Consider the following 19,997-nt stretch of genomic DNA (forward strand, 5'->3'; position numbering starts at 1 on the left):
TCTTTCTGTGGTGCACCAGTCAGCTGGGCTGTGTCACAAAATACCACAGCCTGTGTGGCTTAAACAACAGGCATATTTCCTCTCACAGTGCTGGAGGCTGCACATCTCTGAGCCAGGTCTGGCAGGGTGTGGCTTCTCCTGAGACTGTTTTTCCTGGCTTGCAGACATCGCTGTGTCTGCAGTGGCCTTTTACCTGAGTGTGTGTGTCTGCAGTGGCCTTTTACCTGAGTGTGTGTGTCTGCAGTGGCCTTTTACCTGAGTGTGTGTGTCTGCAGTGGCCTTTTACCTGAGTGTGTGTGTCTGCAGTGGCCTTTTATCTGAGTGTGTGTCTGCAGTGGCCTTTTACCTGAGTGTGTGTGGAGAGGGAGCGAGCTTTGGCGTCTCTTCTCTTCTTATAAAGATGTCAGTACTATGGGATCTGTGCCCACCCTGAGGACCTCATCTAACTGATCACCTCTTTAAAGGCCCCCTCTACAGATACAGTCACGTCAGGAATTAGGGCTCTATGAATGTGGGGGATGCATTTTTCAGTCCACAGCATACAGGAAAACATGAGCGTGGCCGTTTCCCTGCGTGACCAGCATGTGGGTGCCCGTGCAGGGATGTGGATGGCTCATCCACTCCTGGAAGAGCCGAGAGTTGGAGCCACACTGGGTGTGAACCCTGCCCTGGGCCCCAGGAGCTCTGGGGCTGTGGAAGAGTCAGGGCCCTCCGTACAGCGTAGCTTCTGCTCCTGAACACAAACCCTGAGAGCACCTGTGCCCCCCGGCTGACACATGAAATCAGAGGTGGTGACTTGGGTAGGGGTTCTGAGGACAAAGCCTGTGGGCGGGTGTGCAGGAACCCGGGTCCCCTCTTCCTGTAGCTTTCCAAGCCCTCTCTCCCTTCTGTTCCTTTATGTAACAAGGTACCTAAGTTTTCCTTCCAGGAACATTTGCTCATGGACACACGGAGCCAGACACACAAGACACACACAGAGAGGGGCACAGGGCATGAAACAGGGGCTCCGGTGAAGCCATGCGGCAGACATGGACAGCGAGCACACAGACGCCGGGCGTGGACACCCATGAGCACCCACAGCCCACATCACTGCGTGCCTTACCTCGGAAGTAGGGGATGTAATGATGTCTGAACACGGATGTAGGGCTTGGGTGTTGGGACAGGGAGAGGCAGCTACTGGTACCCACACTCACAGTACCAGCTACGGGGTAACAGAGAGCAAGTCAGAGTCAACCTGGGCTGGCTGGTGCAACGCCACACATATTCCTCATCCCCACTCTGCTACGAACACTGTTGCTTCCTCTCTTGAGGAATGCACAACTTTTTGCACCTGAAGGTGGTCACCAAACATGCTTTAGACCACTCTCCTCCAGGAGCGAGGAAACCGGACCTCAGAGGACCAGGCAGAGGCCCAGGGTGCTGCATAGGAGCCTTGGGCTGGGGTTCCCCAGGGGGGGTTAGGCCCCTAGCCAGGCCTGTCGCTTAGCATTTGGGGTCTCCTGGGGATCAAGGACTCAGCTGGAGAGCAGTTCAGGGAGTGGTCTGCCACCAGACATCGTCACCGGACTCGTCCGGCGAGATGCAAGCTTGGCTCTTGGGTTAGCCTGGGCCAAGCGCAGTCAACAAGCCCAGGCTGTCCTTGTGCTATGGGGATTGAGCCAGCAAAGGGCCCTTAGGACGAGGAGCTCAATAAAGTTGACTGCCCTTAGCTCACCTGCTCACCTGCTCACTCACTCACTCATTTATTCACTCATTCACTCACTCACTCACTCATTCATTCACTCACTTACTTGCTCACTCAATCACTCATTCACTCACTCTCTCATTCCCTTATTTGCTCATTCATTCAATCACTCATTTACTCGCTGACTCATTCATTAATTCATTCACTCACCAATTCACTCATTCACTTGCTCACTCACTCATTCAATCACTCATTCACTCACTCACTCATTCCCTTACTTGCTCACTCATTCAATCACTCATTCACTCACTGACCCATTCACTTGTTCACTCACTCATTCATTCACTTGGTCACGCATTCCTTCACTCACTAATTCAGTCATTCATGCACTCACTCACTCATTCACTCATTCACTCTCTCATTCACTCATGCACTCACTCCTTTACCCACTTTCTCAACATTTATTGAGCAGAATGTACCAGGCACATTGCAAGGAGTCAATGGAAATAACTTTGCAAATGAATGAGTTTTGATTTTTCCACAAAGGCTGCAAAAATAAGAGCCATAGTCCATGGATGTATAAATGGAGGCATGCAGCAGCTGGCCAGGAAGGAAGCAGCTTGGAAAAATCCCTCGAAAGGCAGTGTCCGTGTGGAGCGTCCCTGCTGTGGCTTTGACACGCTCAGGGGGTCGAGGAGTTTCACAGCTACAGGGATTGATACACAGCTGGGCGCCAGGCAGGGGACAAGGTGACACGTGTGGAAAGGACCTGTCTCGGGGCTCTCTCCTGACTGGCGGGGACCTCTCACCCATTCTCCCGTGAGGACAGCTGTCACTGGGTGATCAACCTAGCCACAGGTGAAATGTTAATGGGCTTCATTTTTCCACCACTGACTTTGCTTTCCCAGCTCACATCTTCCGAGACCCACATGAGCTTGCAGCCGGCCAACGTCTGCTCTCCTGACACATATGCTGTCTTATCTTCCTGACGTCTCTTGCCACCCAATCATTAGCTGGAATCTAAGCGCTCAGCGTGTGCCCCCTAGGCTGTGTGCTCCACGGAGGGCTCCGCTAACCAGCAGGGCAGCCTCTGCAGCTCACCTCGCCCCAAGGCATGAGGAGGTCCTTTTCTTTATGCCACTAAATGAACAGGTTCTCAGCCACCCACCCGCTGGCAATCCCACCCATTTCCATCATATTTCCAGTTGTATAAGAAAAATGCCACTTATAACCGAAAAAAAAAACTAAAAAAAAAAAAAAAAAAAAGGAAAAGGACAGCATCCTGGGGGCTCAGAGGAACCAGGGGGCCAAGTACCTGGACGGCTGTAGTGCTGTGGTGACCGTGAGGTCGGAGTGTAGCGCCCGAGGCTAACCGACCCAGTGGAGCTTGGGCTGGAGGTCCGACACTGCTTGTAGGACCGGTCATCCTGATCCCCCTGGGAGGGAAGATGCAGCTTGTGAACACTGGAGCCGGGAGCACTTCCCACCCCTTGTCCACCCATCCCCCGACACCATTTGGTGTTTGCCCTCCTGACCCAAGTGGATGACTCAACATGGCCCCATGTGGGAATCTCCTGCACCTGTCAGGGCAGGTCTGAAGAGCCGAGTGGGGCTGGTGTGGTGCAGACACACTCCCCGCTGTGCCTGCTGGATCCTTGCCACAGGGTGTGGTACAGGGACCCACTGGCGGGGATCCCCCATCTTCCCCTCCTGCCGGTGGGGGCTCCAGCTTCATCCTCCAGGTCTCCTCCTGCCTGACCCTCGCCAGCGCCCAGCTCTTAGAACACAGTGTGAGAACCACGGAGACTCCCCCAGTCCCTATGGGGGTTTCTCACGTGTGAACTGGGGGCTCTAACGGCCCTGGAGGCACATTTGGAGGTAGAAAGTTACTCCACCCCAGGCCGGGAAGCCCAGTTGAGTCAGACCCACAAGCACCGACATGGCAGACTTCATCCAAGCAGGAGCAGCTGTTTGCAGCAGGCAGAGTGGGAGGCAGGTGGTGTGGGGTGGCGTGGCACCATGGCACGGGGGAGAGCAGGCTGCCTGGCCCACCACAGCTTGGCATGCTGTCCCGGGTCATTACATGGCCCAGCCCAGTGTCCTGCTGCAGGGTGGAGGTTGCAGTTTTGCCCTCAAGGCCAGCACAGTGATGAGCAAAGGAATTCCCGGTCTGGGCCCATGGCTCCCCTGGCCTGTCAGAGCACGTCTCCCACCCCGAGGTGTGCTGTCCCTAACGCCTGCCTGGTGCGCCACCTCCATGCGCTCAGGCCAGCCCTCATGCTAGGTTCCTACCTGCGCTTCACCCTGCTCCCTTTGGCGACTGTCTAACCCCAGCCCGGGGCGCACTCTCTCGGGCCGGCTAGTGCCCTGCCTCTCTACCCCGGGCGTCCTCTGCACAGCCCTGTCCACCTTACAGGTGTCCTGGCTCCTTGTTCAGCTTGGACTCAGGGCTTCCAGCTACATGTGGGTTTGGCAGCTCGGTGCAAGTGGCCCCTTGTGTGTTTGGCCGTCACATCGTTGGATCCAAGAGTTTGATGCCCAGCTGCTGCTGGCTCTGCAGGTGGGCCATGTTCTTCCAGCAGAACAGCACCACCAAGGCCCACACTTGCCCTGTTCCTCTACCATCCCCCAGCACTGTGTCTATGGGGACAGGCTAAGGAGCCAAGCGGAGAAGCCACGGAAGGGGCTCTGCAGAAGATTCCGGTTCTCCAAAGCTGTCAGGACCTGGGGAGGGCCTCAGCCTCGGACCACTCCTAAGGGCTGGACTGGGAATCCTGGCTGTGTGCAGGGAAGGAAGGAAGCAGGCAAGTCCCAGTAAGGTTGGCCGAGGTCCTGTGACCACCTCTGGACCAGAAGCCTGCAGGCTGTGCATGGCTGTGCACCCTCCCACTGAGCAAGTGTGCATGATTTTGTGCCCCACTCTGGGGTACAGCCTGAGACAGGGGCCTCTGCAGGGAGACCAGGCTCTTCCCAGGAGTGTGCTCTGTGTCAGGCAGACCCTGCACCTCATCTGGAAGGGAAGCTGACATCCCTCCCTCAGGGGTTCCCTGTGCAGGTAAATGAGGAGATGAAAAGATGCCCGGCCCCAGGCCTGGGACATCAAAAGTCACCGGTACATAGGAATCACTGCTCTAGGGATACAGCACCCAGGTACCATGGCCGTCACAGCTCCCATGGGGCAGGTTGTCTGGAGCAGGAGGCTGGAGATCCCAGTGGGTGAGCATAGGCTCTGAGCCGACCGCTGGGCTGAAATCCTCCTGCACCTCATAGTGCGTGACCCTGGAAAGGTTATGTGACTTCCCTGTGCCTCAGTTTCTCTGCGGTAACCTGGGGAAAATCACAGAACTTGCCTCTGGGTGTCGTGGTGGGGGATGAATAAATATACATTTTTTTTTTTTTTTTGAGATGGAGTCTCGCTCTGTCACCCAGGCTGCAGTGCAGTGGCGTGACCTCAGCTCACTGCAACCTCCGTCTTCCGGGTTCAAGCGATTCTCCTGCCTCAGCTTCCGACTAGCTGGGATTACAGGTGTGTGTCACCCATGCCTGGGTAATTTTTGTATTTTTAGTGGAGACGGGGTTTCACTATGTTTTGGCCAGGCTGGTCTCGAACTCCTGACCTCTGGTGATCCGCCCACCTCGGCCTCCCAAAGTGCTGGGATTACAGGTGTGAGCCACCACGCCCAGCCTATGAAATGTTTACAATGGCATCAAGCACAGGGGAAGAGCTCAGGGCACGGTCACTGCCCAGGCTGTCTATTCCTGGCTACCATGACACCTTTCTGCTGTGGCCACCCGTGCGGCCGCACAGACTGCAGTCTGATTGGCAGCTCTCTATGTCACTGATTAATTTTGAGAAACAGAAAAAAAAAAAAAAAACTAGACCACTAACAGTAAAAGCTCTTTTGTAGAGAGACACGTCCAGTGTTTCTCCACGAGGACTGGGTGCTTCCACACAACCCACGTGGAGGGGCAGGAGGCAGGAAGCGCTCCCAGGCTCAGCCAGGATCCTGAATTTTCCCCTAAAGGAAGCCACGGCCCAGACCACGATCTGCTCAGGGTAGACCCGCGTCCCAGGCGGCCACATCCGCAGGGCTGGCAGACATATCGGGGAGGCATGCAAGTGCGGGGTGATCATAAAAATAACCAGCAGCCAGGAGGGTGCCCCATGTCACAAGGGCCGTGGCCCCGGGCCCCATGGTGAAGAGCCACCGAGGAGGCCCTTCCCGGGAGTGCGGCTGGGTGGTTATGTTTATAACCCAGGCAGCAGCGCCACGGCAAGCGGGGACAGGCGAGAGGGTGGTGGTTACCTCGGTCGGCGTTGGCGAGAGCAACTGAGGGGACTGTGGACACAACACACAAAGTGGCCATTAGTGCTGGCGCCAGGCAGAGAGGGAGGAGGGCAGTTCCGTGACTGGCAGGCAACACAGGCGCAAACACCCACACAGAGCCCTGATCCTCCAGACAGGAAAAGAACTCTACCCCGAGAGACACAAGTCAGGGTTCCAGAACCTTCTCTTTGGAGAAACATGGTTAATTCTTCCCAGAGAAAGAGGCCCCCGGGGAAACTGATTTCGTGCCAATGAGCCCAGAGCTTGTCTCTACCTGGCCACCCCCACGTCCCACTGTTCTCCCACAAAGATGTGTTTTCCCAAAAGGAAGACACTGGCTCAGGGCACAGGCAGCAACATCCTGAGGGCCCATCACCTCGGTTTTCTCTGGACAAGAGAGAAAAGGTGCTCAGCAGAGACAGAGGGTGACCAGAAGCCTTTGGGTTGGAGACGGCTCTGCCGTGGGGGTCCTGGGGCCCTAGACAGCAGGCTGACCCGTCTTCCCAGGCTGGCACCCCATCCACCACCACCTGCACATATGTTCAGTGAGGAGCATGGAGGTGGGAGGGGCCCAGAAAGAGCACAGCCCTTGTGAGGTGAGCAAGCATTGGGAAAGAGAACGCCGTTCCCACAGCAGAGCGGGGAGGCACTCTGTTCACAGGAACCATGGTTATTACAGCGCAATAACTCGACGGCCTCTGGGAGGCTGCCACGGGCCCTGTGAAGCCCTGTGCCATGGGAGGTGGGAAGCTGAAGGCCATGGGTGGAATGATGGAATCAAGGGAGAAACCCTCAGGCTGCTCCCGGCCATCGGCATAGAGGAAGCTCTGTATGGACACACCTGACCCAGGAGCCCAGCCCTGTCCACCTGCCGAGGCAGGCCCCATGGGGTCGCACTTTATGGCTGAGAGCGGAAGCTCACACACAGGTGCCACTGTTTAGCAGAGCGGGAGGCCAACCCAGGTCTCCCCAGAGGGAGGGGGTGACTCCCGAGCCACAGTCCCTCCCTTCCTGCCCCTTCTCTGCCCTCTGGGGACAGGTCCTGGGGTCAGGATCATCCATGGTTCACAGATGTCCTGCCATTTGAGAGGCGCAGCCCCAGAGAGGCTGAAAGAAACCTCAGTGACAACAGCTAAGGGCCCGTGTCCACTTGGGCCTGGAAGCTGTGTCCTGGTCATACCATGAGACCCTGGAGCAGGACAGGGAGAGATACCAGCCCACCCCAACACACATCACCTCTGCATGTGGCCCTTCATGGCCACAGAGCCCTCCCACAGGGACACACGCACTCAAACCAGGAAGGGGTGTGCCCGATGCCCCAAGGCTGCCAGGAGGTGGAGGAGGATCGTGAGGCCAGTCCTCTAGGCTTGAATCGCACGTCCCAGAGAGAGCGCCAGGATGTGCTGAGAAAATAGCCAGCACATCCTGTGGTCTTTGCGGGGAAGAAGGGACTGGATTTGGGTCTTAGCCCTGTGGCCGAGACGCGAGTCCTCACGGACTCTCTTCCAGCATCTGGTCCAGGTGCAGACCAGATGTTGGACAATAAAGCCAACACACAGCCTGGGCATGTGGTAGGTGGGTACAGGTGGGTGCAGTGGGTGGGTGCAGGTGAGTGCAGGTAGATGGGTGTAGGTAGGTACAGGTAGGTGGGTGTAGGTGGATGCACATGGGTGCAGGTAGGTGGTTGCAGATGGGTGCAGGGGGGTGTGTGGTAAGTGGGTGCAGGCAAGGTGCAGGTAGGTGGGTGGTAGACAGGTGCAGGTGAGTGCAGGTGGGAGGGTGTGTGGTAGGTAGGTGCTGGTGGGTGGTAGGTGGGTGCAGGTGGGTGGGTGGTAGGTAGGTGGGTGCAGGTGGGTGGGTGGTAGGTAGGTGGGTGCAGGTGGGTGGTGGGTGGTAGGTAGGGGCAGGTGGGTGGGTGTGTGGTAGGTGGGTGCAGGTGGGTGGGTGGTAGGTAGGTGGGTGCAGGTGGGTGGTGGGTGGTAGGTAGGTGGGTGCAGGTGGGTGGGTGCAGGTGGGTGGTAGGTGGGTACAGGTGGGTAGTGGGTGGTAGGTAGGTGGGTGCAGGTGGGTGGGTAGTAGGTAGGTGGGTGCAGGTGGGTAGGTGGGTGGTGGGTGCAGGTGGGTGGTGGGTGGTAGGTAGGTGGGTGCAGGTGGGTGGTGGGTGGTAGGTAGGTGGGTGCAGGTGGGTGGTGGGTGGTAGGTGGGTTCAGGTCGGTGGGTGGTAGGTAGGTGGGTGCGGGTGGGTGGTGGGTGGTAGGTAGGTGGGTGCGGATGGGTGGTGGGTGGTAGGTAGGTGGGTACGGGTGGGTGGTGGGTGGTAGGTAGGTCAGTGCGGGTGGGTGGTGGGTGGTAGGTAGGTGGGTGCAGGTGGGTGATGGGTGGTAGGTAGGTGGGTGCAGGTGAGTGGGTGGCAGGTAGGTGGGTGCAGATGGGTGGTTGGTAGGTGGGTGTGGGTCGTGATGCCTTCCCTCAGCTCCCCCCACTGGTCCCTCTCATTGTCAGTGGGGCTTGTCACCCACATCCTCAAATTCTGTGATCCACAGGGGCAGAAGCAAGTCAGGAGGGCACCTGCTGGCCCTGAGCTCTTCTCACCCTCCCTGCACAGCCCTTGAGCTTGGCAGGTGCACCCAGCAGCCATGACTTTCTCGCCCCACACCATCCGCATCGAACGCGCTGCCCTGGAGTCTCAGCTCTTGCTTCCCTGGAGGCCCTTGTTGAAGTCTCAAAATGAGAAGGCCCAAGGGAAACGTGTTTGAAAGGACTGAGCTTCCCCACCCCGGGGAGCCCCCCATGCCTGGCGGCACGCATGTCAAGAGCACACACACTCGGGCCAACAGCCTGGCAACGCCTCCTCCTACCTCAGGCAGCTGCGGTCATGTTGAAACCTCAGAACCACAAGAGGAAAAGCAAAAACCAACAAGGCATTCCACGGGAAATGGACAGAGCAGCTCTGAATAAGAAACCTCTGAGGAGTAGGAACGCCGTCCACAGGCAGGCCAGGAAATAAATAATCTGTGGTTCAACCAGGTCGGTTACATTGGCTCATGAATTCATGGGGCAGAGGAGCATGGGGCAGAGCCATGGCAGCGAGGGTGGCACGGGCCAAGAGTCCGCTACAGAGGAAATGCATCTCATGCTTTATGAAAATAATCTAATACTTAAGAAAATTAGGAGATTTTCACTGAGTCACTATCATCTTTCCTACAAACCAGCATGCTTCCTACTTTCTACTCCATTTAAGGAGGCATTCCAGGCTCACTCCTTCAGCAACGGCAGCTTTGGGGCCACAGTGCCTTGGGCATTACTGAAATAGGATGTGCACATGGCTATCTGATGGGCGTGAAGAGGCTGAGCGTGTGGGTGAGTGGTGAAGATGGAAGTGGCTCTGGCCCCATAGGACACATGCTAGGGATGACGCCTGTCCTGCAGGGCAGCACTTGGGGACACAGGTGTCCAGGGCCATGTGGGCAGGGTCCATACCTCGCCGTAGCTCTGCCTGTCCCCTGCAGAGTGGCTGATGTAGGGTGAGTAGGAGATCATGTCGGGGCGGTCGATGTCATAGATGGCCTTACTTTTAGGAAGGGCTGCCAAGTCCCTGTAGTCCAGGATCTCACCACCAAGCTTGGCCTGAGAGGGGAAAGAGAATTGGGGAGGGGACAGTCACCAGATGCACCCCAGAGGGCAGCACCCCCAAAGCCGGATGCATCCCACAGGACAGTGCCCCCAAAGCCAGATGCATCCCACAGGACAGTGCCCCCAAAGCCAGATGCATCCCACAGGACAGTGCCCCCAAAGCCAGAGGGCAGTGGCTGCTCCAGCAGCCGTGAAGAGGGTGCTGGGGTCACAGCGCTTTGGGCAGAGTCTGAGCTCACCCCCAGCTCCTGGTATAGGTGAAATGGGGACGGGGTCAAAAGCACAGGGAACTCCAGAGCAGGCAGGCTTGGGTCCTGAGGCCCAGCCACAAAAGAGCCAGTAGGCCTTGCGGAAGTGTCTTCTCTAAGCCTCAGTTTCCTTCTGTACAAAATGAGGGAAATGATCACACCCGAAGGCTCTGGGGTTAAGGAGGCCATGCCTGTGATGTACCTGGCATGGGGTCTGGCAGGCAGTGAGACTCAGTCCATGGCTTAAACATGTGTACATGCACGCACACGTACAAACACAGACACGCACACATGCAAACACACACACTGCACACACAAACACACATATAGGCAAACACACACGCATCCCTTACTATTCATGTGGGATTGGCCCCAGGACCCTCCTCAAATCCCCAAATCCTCATATGCTCAGGTTGTTAAGTAAAATTATGTGGTTCTTGCCTGTAGCCTGTGCACATCCTCCCATTTGCTTAAAACCATCTCTTGGTGATTTGTAATGCCTAACACAATGCAAATGTTGGGTAAATCGATGTTATACTGTATTATTTAACTTACATAAATAAAATAGTGTATTATTTTTATATTATTTTATTTGTATTATTTTTTATTGTTGTTTGCTATTTTTATTGTTTTTTAAGAATATTTTCAATCTGAGGTTGGTTGAATCTGCAGATGTGGAATGCATGGATACAAAGGGTGATGATACATACCTACACATACATGTGCACACACATACGCACACATGCACACACACACGCACATGCATGCGCACACATGCACACACATGCAGGCACACACACACATAAGGCACACACATGCACTACACACATGTGCATGTATACCTCCACACAGAGAACATGCCTGTCTGAGACTGTGGAGGTATAGACCCCCCTCACATCCTGGCCCACTCCCACATACTAGCACACACATGCCCACACCCACACACTGACACGTGCTCACACATGCAATCACTCCCCAGGCCCATGGCTCACTCACACACAACCGGCACACCCCCACACACTGGCACACACCTGCACACCCAGATTCACCCACAAACGTGCATGCACATCTGCCCACACATACTTGCACACAATCACCCCACCCCTACCAAGCAAGTTCACATTCACCACCCCCCATGCCCACACGCACTCACACACATTCACATGCTGCCTGCAGCAAAGCACCTGGCATTTGACAGGCCAGCTGGGACACCCCTCAGCAGGGTCGGGGGCCCTTCTGTCCTGTCTACCTCTGGCCTACCCTGGCCCACAGTGGCGCTCCTGCCCTTGCTGAATGAATGCGGGACGCTGGGAGAACCCCTGTGTTTGCTCAGGGAGGTCCAGCTGGTGTGTGCTGCCCTCTGCTCTGATTCTGCCCAGCCTTCCTCCGCGGTACCCCACTGTGCACTGTGCACGTGCTCTTGCCCCTGCCTGTCCCCTTCTCCCTGGCTCTGGGCTCCCCAGGAGCTGCCGGGGGCATTTTCCAGCCACAGGTGACTCTGGTGGAGATCCCTGTTGCTGCTTCTCGATTCTGCCTCAGCCTCCTCTGGACATGATGAGCTGTCTACCCCGAGACATGCACTGGGCTGAGCCCTCCATCATCTGCTCGCAAAACACAATGATGCCACAAAGGGGTGCTCACAGAAGCTCCTTTTCACAATGTAGAAGCCAGAGCCCAGAGAGGTTGGGTAACTTGCCCAGACTCACAGAGCCAGGAGGGTGCAGGGCAGCACATGACCCTGGCTGTCTGACTCTAAAGCCCATGCTCCCCACCACAGCTCTCCCCTTTCCAGGCTTCACTGCTGGGGGGAATGCCTCTCAGGCCCAGATGCATCCCAGTGGTCTCAGCTCAAACCCTCTGGGAGCCCCCTCTTCAGCTGGACAATGTAAGCCCTCATTATGGCCCCCAAACTTGGCCTTCCTGTTCCTGGCAGCTTCACCCTAAGCTGTCTCTTCCCCATGTCCCCAGGTGTGCCAGGTTCAGCCCCCTACTCCAGCTTTCCTGTATTCTTCAGGGTCTGTTAGCCTCCAGCCCACCTCCTCCACGAAGTCTTCCCTGATCACCAGGCTTGAGGGTTCTCCTGAGATGTTGGGTCTTGGGGTGAACCCTGACATTTGTGATATGCATGAAGAGAAAGAAGTTCTGACATCTCAGACCTCTGGCTGCCCCTTTGGAGCCTGGGGCAGGGTTCAAAAGACCCGAGATCCAATCCCGAGCCAGCCATTTGTAATCATGAGATCTGATCCTGCAGGATTTTCAGCAGCTCCCCTCTGCCTTCTGGGAAATTGGAACTCTGGCGCTTGTTTACCCACTTATCCATGCCACTTAGCACTCAAGTCCTTTCAGCTCCCAGTCACTCACAGCCTGGGGGCTTTGCACCTGCTGTTCCCTCTCTGGGATGTGCCCCTCCCACACCTCTTCCCTAAGCTCTGCCTCTGGTCCTTCCAGGCTCAGCGAAGGCCCCTCCTCGAGGCTTCCTTCCCCACACCCCCGCAACAAGTTAGTGTTGATCTTCATCTGTTGAGTTGTCCCTTATCCCCTCAAGACTGTGGCTCCTAGAGGCCCAGGATTCATCACTGAGACCCTTGCCCAGCTGTGAGGTTGACAGCAGGCTTGTGAATTGAACAAAAGCCAATCAAGCATTTGCAAAAGTCAGGTGAACTCTCAGCCAGATGCCTGGCGGGGTGTGTTTTGCATCCTCCCTTCCCCACCTCCGTCCCCTCCAAGCAGCGATGATCACAGCATTCACCTGTCCAGCCCCACAGCATAGGGGGCCGCCTTGCCCTGGGTTAGCTCCCAGCCTTCCTCAGGCTTCCCTGAACCACCCAGCCCTGACAGCAGGGGTCAGAGAGGGCAGCCTGCACGATGCCAACAGCCCCTGCCCGACCCCTCAGACAGGTTGCTAAGTGGCCTTGCAGATCCACTTTCCCCCATGCCAAGTCCTTGGGTGGTTGCCATGACAACGGGCTGCACTCTCTAATTGGCGGAAGGTCTCTGGAGTGTGTGTAAAGGGTTTTTCCTCTTTGCCTTCTTCCTTCCCACACTCCACCCAGCATAATACACACTAATATGGCCACTTACAACAGTATCATTACCATATAACCCAGTCAATGATAACACAGAATGGAAGAACGTTGCTTTTATACTCTGCACTATTGCCATGTTGAAATAAAGGTTACAAAATAATATGTTCAGTGTGACCCCATGTTATAAAAATTACACACACACAGAAGCGAGACCTGAAGGGTATCTCAGAAGCATCGGCAGGGCCACTGTGGCTGGCAGGATGTAAATGCTTTAATTTCCTCTGGTGTGCTGATTACTGTTTTTTTTTTTTTTTTTTTTTTAATAAATGCAGATTGCTTTTGGCAGAAAGAAAAGAGCAGTAAAATAGGTGATGTCCAAAAGCCCCATGGTTTATGGAGGGTCTACTGTGTGCACATTTTATCCTGGAAACTAAGATGAACGAGGCCCAGTCCCTGCCCGCCAAGCCCTCACGGTCCGTGGAGGAGATGCAGCCACTTGGTGGATTCTGGTGCATTCCTGTGCACGTGAATGGCAGGGGGAGCCGGTCTCTTCCTCACGGTGAAGGAAGGGGATGCTGCATTTGACAACCACCCACAGCAGGCAGGGGTGGGCAGCTGCAACCTGCAAAGCACCCGACGGGGACATGGAACGGCCCCTTTCTGAGACCGTGGGGGTGCTCAGCACAGAGCAGGGGGCCAGGCGCACAGTAGGTTGATGACAGACACCAGCAGAGGTGAGATAAAAAGCAGGGTGGCCAGGCGCAGTGGCTCACACCTGTACCCCCAGCACTTTGGGAGGCCAAGGTAGGTGGGTCACCTGAGGCCAGGAGTTTGAGACCAGCCTGGCCAACATGGTGAGACCCTGTCTCTACTAAAAATACAAAAGTTAGCCAGGCATGGTGGTGGGCGCCTGTAATCTCACAGACTTGGGAGGCTGAGGCAGGAGAGTTGCTTGAACCCGGGAGGCAGAAGTTGCAGTGAGCCAAGATCGTGCCACTGCACTCCAGCCTGGGCGACAGAGCGAGACTCCATTTCAAAAAAAAAAAAAAGAAAAGAAAAGAAAAGCAGGGCAGAACCCTGGGATAAGGAGGGCTTGCCCACCACATCACATCATCTTGGTGAAGAGCCGGACCGTGTGCAGTGCCCACTCATGTGGCACCAACCCCAAGGTGGGAGAGAGAGCAGGGCTGTTCGGGCTTCTGGCCTGTCTGGCCCCTGGGAGGGCTGGGATGCAGCCAGGCTGGGTGCTGACCATGGTGCTTGGAGCACGTGTCAGAATTGGGAGCACGTGTCCTTGCATTGTGGCTCCATTACTTAGAGGCTGCAAAGTCAGCTCATATCTCAGAGTGGCATCAGCGACGTGGGCACACTGATGGCAGGTCCCTGGGCAGCTCTGAGGCCAAGAGGAAGCAGCATGGCACCCCACACATTCTCCCTTGTGTCAAACTAAGAGCCGGGAGACTGGATTAATTTGTTCGAGGCCTTCTGTTTAAAACTGGAATTGTGAGCACACCTACTTGGCCGAGCAGGAAGTCCATCAAAGCTGAGACACAGTGCACCACGCTGCAGTTGACCTGGGTCAAGTGCATGCCCCACTGGTGCAGAAATTCTTTGCCCACCAACATCCCTTGGCAGGCGTCCCACCTGAAACCCCCACTTGGGTCTGCCCCGATCTCTCCTGTGGACGGGAACTCCTTCCCCTACCCAGAACAGGGATGCCATCTGGCCTGATCGTGGCTGGGTCCCCAGGGCTCCACAGGGAGCTTGTGCTCACCCATGCTTGTAACTGCCTGATGCAAGAAGAAAGGAGCCACCATGGCTGTTTACAGCACTGAGCAGCAGGGTCTCCTGGAAAAAACCTAAGCCTCGGAGTCACGGAGACCTGTGGGCTCCAAGCCCAGCTCTGCCTTGAAAGTGTTGCATGGCCTTGAAAGTGGGACCATGACAACAGAGGCCGCTGTCACTGCTCACTGCATGCACACACAGTCACTACCATCCCACGCTCCTTGCAAATGCCAGTTTGTTTAAAAAAAAAAAAAAAAAGAGGCTGGGCACGGTGGCTCACGCCTGTAATCCCAGCACTTTGGGAGGCCAAGGTGGGTGGATCACCAGGTTAGGAGATTGAGACCATCCTGGCTAACACGGTGAAACCCCGTCTCTATTAAAAATACAAAAAAAATTAGCCATGCATGGTGGCGGGTGCCTGTTGTCCCAGCTACTCGGGAGGCCGAGGCAGGAGAATGGCGTGAACCTGGGAGGCGCAGCTTGCAGTGAGCTGAGATTGCACCACTGCACTCCAGCCTGGGCGACACAGTGAGACTCCACTTCAAAAAAAGAAAAAAAAAAGAGCTCATATTTAATGAGCAGTTACTATGTGCCGTGCAGGTTCCAACAACAACAGCAGCAACAACAGCAACAGCAACAGCTACCACGAATGAGCGCTTAGCAGGCACCAAGCCGGATGCCAAGTGCTTTGCAAATGTTGGCGCTCAGAAAACAATACCCCAAAGTACGGAGCCACAGCATGCTGAGGACTTTGACCTAAGGGAGAGTGGAAGGCCTCGGAAGCAGGGTCTCTCTGACCGCCTCCTGCCCTCCTGTCTCTCACCCTCTTCCTTCCTACCCCCGCTGAAGTGAGCCATACCAACCAGAGTTCCTCTTCCCCAAGGCGGGTCATAGAAACTAGAAGTTCCTCCCCAAAGCCAGCCATGAAGCCTAGAAACATGAGTCTAACCTTTCCCTCATTCTGTGCACAACCTGGCCATGGAGCCATTCTCTGACCTAGCTTGCCTGAGAGTAGGTCCTAAGACCCCCTGTGCCCTATACCTGGAGGAAGAAGGACTCCCCAGAGAGGCCAAGGAGCATCTGAGCAGACGGCCCTGCTGTTTCCCCACTCAGTCTGTTCCCATCAGATCACACACATTTTGTCCAATCATATTTCTACATGGCCACCCAGTTATCATCCAATCTAAGCATAAAAATAGGCCAGGCACAGCGGCTCACGCCTGTAACCCCAGCACTGTGGCAGGCCAGGCGAGTGGATCACCTGAGGTCGGGAGTTTGAGACCAGCCTGACCAACATGGAGAAACCCCGTCTCTACTAAAAATACAAACTTAGCTGGGTGTGGTGGCACATGTCTATAATCCTAGCTACTTGAGAGGCTGAGGCAGGAGAATCGCTTGAACCCAGGGGGTGGAGGTTGCAGTGAGCTGAGATGGAGCCGTGGCACTCCAGCCTGGGCAACAAGAGCGAAACTCCAACTCAAAAAAAAAAAAAAAAAAAGAACAGTGTTGGCCAGACGTGATGACTCAAACCTATAATCCCAGCACTTTGGGAGGCTGAGGCAGGTGGATTGCTTGAGGCCAGGAGTTCAAGACCAGCCCGGGCAACATAAAAAGACCTCATCTCAACAAAAAATACAAAAATTAGCCAGGTGTGATGGTGCATGCCTGTAGTCCCAGCTACTCGGGATGCTGAGGTGGGAGGATCGCCTGAGCCCGGGGAGGTTGAGGCTGCCATGAGCCATGATCTCACCACTGCACTCCAGCCTGGGCGACAGAGCCAGACCTTGTCTCAAAACCAAAACTAAAAAGGACAGTCCTCCCTGGGTCTTTGGACCTGCGTCCCTGAAGGCTCCTGTGTCACCTAAAACTTTGATTAAATACGTCTGTCATGCTTTTCTCTTGTGAACTTGTCTCTCGTTATAGGAGTGTCAGCTGTGACCCTTTCAATGGGTGAGGAAACAGACCATACCTTTGTGCGCCTACACAAACATGATCTCATTCACATGATAATTGTCATAATCATTATTCATGAGGATGATGATGGTATTATGGACTGAACTGTGTCTCCCCGAATTCCTGTGTTGGTAAAGTCCTAACCCTCAGGACCTCAGAATGTGACTGCATTTGGATGCAGGGCCTTAAGAGAGGTCATCAAGTTAAAACAAGACCGTTAGGGTGGATCCAATCCAATCTGCCTGGTGTCCTTATGGGAAGAAATCAGGACCCGGATGCACACAGATGACCCGTGATGATGCAAGGAGAGGACGGCCGCCTGCGGGCCAGGGATGGGGAGCCAACCCTGCTGACTCCTTGATCCTGGGTTTCCAGGCTCTGGAACTTTGAGACAATTTATTTCTGTTGTTCAAGCCCCCAGGAGGCTGACACAGATGATGGTAACAGTAACGGCAGCAAGCGTTTCCCACAGCCTTCTTCTGGGCAGGCGCTGTGCTCACTGCCACCCAGGCAGCGCCTCAGTGAGCCCTGGACCGAAGGTGCCTGGGGGTCTCCGTGGATTACTGAGGGGCTCCCAGAGGCTCCAGGCGGGCGGCACCTCGCCCAGGGCATGCAGCCAACCTGGTGCCTTCATGCGCCCGCCTAAGCTTCAGAGTGCACATCCCAAGCGCCACAGTGCCACTCACTCTCCAGGCCAGCAGTGCGTCATGGTAACTGAGGACTCGTGCACCCCTCAGTGGCACTGTCAGGATTAAGGTCAGGAAGGACCCTGTGTCCAACCACTATGAGAGAGGAGGGTCGAAAAGAAGCACAGCAGACAGCAGATCCAATAAACTGTCTTAAAGTTCTGGAGCCTAGAAACCCAGTGGATCCAGCCTCCGCTGAGGCATGAAGAACCCAGGTCCTGGCCTGGCGGGGACGGGGAGGGGAGAAGGGGCTTGTCCCAGTCACCAGCCATTCCAGTGCTGGGTTCTGGTGCAGGGGCAGCCTACATGGCAGTCCCGGGTGACCCCTGGCCACCACCGCATAAGCCATCCCTCACCTGGCGCCTGGGGGTCCTCGCCTAGATAAGGAATTTTGGTATTTACACAAGCAATATTAGCAAACATTAAATACAATATTAAATATTAAATTTACATATACATATGTATATGTATGTATACATATATAAATTTAAATATACAATATTAAATGTATTAAATATTAAATAGAATAATCTCCCATCTCGAATCCCACCACCCAGAGGAAATTTCTGGTAACAACTTGTTAAAATGTTTTCAATCATTTTTATATTTGTATGTGATTATGGAAGCGTGTGAGGCGCACAGACACACACACACACACACACACACAGAGTCTCTCTCTCTCTCTCTCTCTCGAACGAACGAAAACGGGATCACATAATTTACATCACCCTTAACTTGCTTCTTTTAGGGAACACGCTGGGAGAGCGTGCGTGTTGATGTACACAGATCCGTGCCGTTATTTGCAAACTCTGCAGGGTCCCGCCTGGGTGTCTGGCAAGCCCCAACTGTCGGCTGTTGATGTGACGTGTCTGCACCACTATAAACAACAGCTGTGTACACACCACTGTGTGGCTCTTGTCACCAGATAATTGGGGACAGGTTCCCAGGGGAATTGCCGGGTCAAACAAACATGTCTGTGTTTCAGACTCATAAAGCCTGTACCAACCTCCACCCCGAAGCAGGGACAAGAGCAATGGCCGTACCTCAGGCCCCAGATGATAGTTCTCGGAAAACTCTCTTAGGGGTGGGCTTAGCCACGGCCACCGGGCCCCCCTTCTCTCTCCACCCTCCCACCGCCGTCCCCATAAAAAGGCCCTGACTTACATAAATCACACGGCTCGGAGACCCTGAGGTGCTGGAAGCAGGGACAGAAATGATGCTCTCTGAGGAAGTTCTGGTTTCCTGAGAAAGGAGAGAGGAAGAGATTGAAGGCAGGTACCAACATTCGGGGCCTTCAGAGGCGACTGTCAGGAGTTCCACTCCAGCAGCCACGCCAGCGCACTGCGGTGTTTCTTTAAAGTTGGGGCTGGGCCGGGCACGGCGGCTCACGCCTATAATCCCAGCACTTTGGGAGGCTGAGGTGGGCGGATCACGAGGTCAGGAGTTCGAGATCAGTCTGACCAACATGGTGAAACCCTGTCTCTACTAAAAATACAAAAATTAGCCGGGTGTGGTGGCGGGCACCTGTAATCCCAGCTACTCAGGAGGCTGAGGCAGGAGAATCGCTTAAACCTGGGAGGCGGTGCTCAGTGAGCCAAGATCGCGCCACTGCACTCCAGCCTGGGTGACAGAGAGAGACTCCATCTCAATGAATGAATGAATGAATAAATAAATAAATAAATAAAGTTGGGGCTGAAGGAATTCTTGGAATAAACACACAGGCTTGGATGAATGACTGAAAAGCTAGCATCAGGCAGACATGGTGGGCCACATGAGACCAGAGTGATGCACAGGCCAAGCCATTCTGCAAGCTCCGGTTATGCTCAGAGGCGTCATTTTCCACCGGGATTATGGGGACTCGCTGCAGCTTAGTCCACTGGCCCAGGTTCCTGGGAACACGGGACCATCTTGGTCACCCTGAAGACCCTCTCTAGCTTGGCCCCCGGCTCTGTCCTCCATGCCCTCTGACCCTCCATGGGCCCCCAAGCCTTTCTCAGCTCAAAGAGCACCTGCTCCCACCTGACACACAACTTAGAAATGGCCCTTCGGAGCCCCCTGGCAGCCACTCTCCCAACTGCACCTGTGGGCTTGTCCTGGCCTTTTTGCTGCTGTCACGCCTGGGACCTGTGTCCTCCTTACATGCTCGCTGCTGTCTGGGGCCACTCCTCCCTTCCGGACCACACCCGCTGTGTCCCCTGGGCTGATGGTTTTTGTGACTGTCCTGCCTCTCCCCCCACCTCAGCCCCCTCCAGCCCTGCGGACACACTCCTTCTGTGGTCCCCACACCTCTGGCTGCACCTGCTGTCCCTCCCCACCTGCAGGGCAGGGGCCTCTCCTGGTTCAGCTCTCACTGGAGCTGCACACCCCTCTCCTGGTTCAGCCCTCACTCCTGGGCCACCTGCCTGGCCTTCCCCACGCCTCCTATTCACCCTGTCCAAAAGAAGCCCATATCCACAGAGGCCTCCCCAGCCCTCAGCAGCCAAGAGCTCAGCCCTCACTCTCCCCACGGCCCCCACGTCCTCTGCTGCTTCGATGGTTTCCCACCCCGACCACAGCCCCCACTGCAGCTCCCTCCTCTCATTTTCTGAGTAGACCCTTTTCTTGCCACCCCCAACAATTCTGTCCTGCCCATTTCAGGGGCCCATCCATGCAGC

The 19,997-nt window shown here is 55.3% G+C and overlaps 1 protein-coding gene across 51 annotated transcripts in view, besides 2 other annotated features; it reads right to left on the reverse strand.

Moving 5' to 3' along the window:
• The window catches only part of ABLIM2 (actin binding LIM protein family member 2), a 193,487-nt gene that overhangs the window by 61,330 nt on the left and 112,160 nt on the right, over positions 1-19,997 (reverse strand). For 15 of the 51 annotated variants that reach the window (XM_047416299.1, XM_006713925.4, XM_006713924.5 and 12 more), the window contains exons 9-13: positions 18,508-18,585; positions 9,493-9,639; positions 5,992-6,024; positions 3,000-3,120; positions 1,103-1,201 (exon numbers count right to left, since the gene is read on the reverse strand). In XM_047416299.1, the coding sequence (XP_047272255.1) occupies positions 1,103-1,201; positions 3,000-3,120; positions 5,992-6,024; positions 9,493-9,639; positions 18,508-18,585 (478 nt within the window). The remainder of the gene's footprint in view (positions 1-1,102; positions 1,202-2,999; positions 3,121-5,991; positions 6,025-9,492; positions 9,640-18,507; positions 18,586-19,997) is intronic. The other 36 variants (NM_001130086.2, NM_032432.5, NM_001130085.2 and 33 more) reach the window with 3 other exon arrangements.
• Positions 10,789-11,289: an enhancer, noted in NCBI's record as "H3K4me1 hESC enhancer chr4:8039172-8039672 (GRCh37/hg19 assembly coordinates)". NCBI's record gives its function as "activates a minimal SCP1, AML or CMV promoter by ChIP-STARR-seq in primed H9 embryonic stem cells {active_cell/tissue: H9 hESC(primed)}" and the evidence as "EXISTENCE:reporter gene assay evidence [ECO:0000049][PMID:30033119]".
• Positions 13,126-14,081: an enhancer, noted in NCBI's record as "H3K4me1 hESC enhancer chr4:8041509-8042464 (GRCh37/hg19 assembly coordinates)". NCBI's record gives its function as "activates a minimal SCP1, AML or CMV promoter by ChIP-STARR-seq in primed H9 embryonic stem cells {active_cell/tissue: H9 hESC(primed)}" and the evidence as "EXISTENCE:reporter gene assay evidence [ECO:0000049][PMID:30033119]".

The sequence above is a fragment of the Homo sapiens genome, chromosome 4, assembly GCF_000001405.40.
Source record: "Homo sapiens chromosome 4, GRCh38.p14 Primary Assembly".
Classification (NCBI taxonomy): domain Eukaryota; kingdom Metazoa; phylum Chordata; class Mammalia; order Primates; family Hominidae; genus Homo; species Homo sapiens.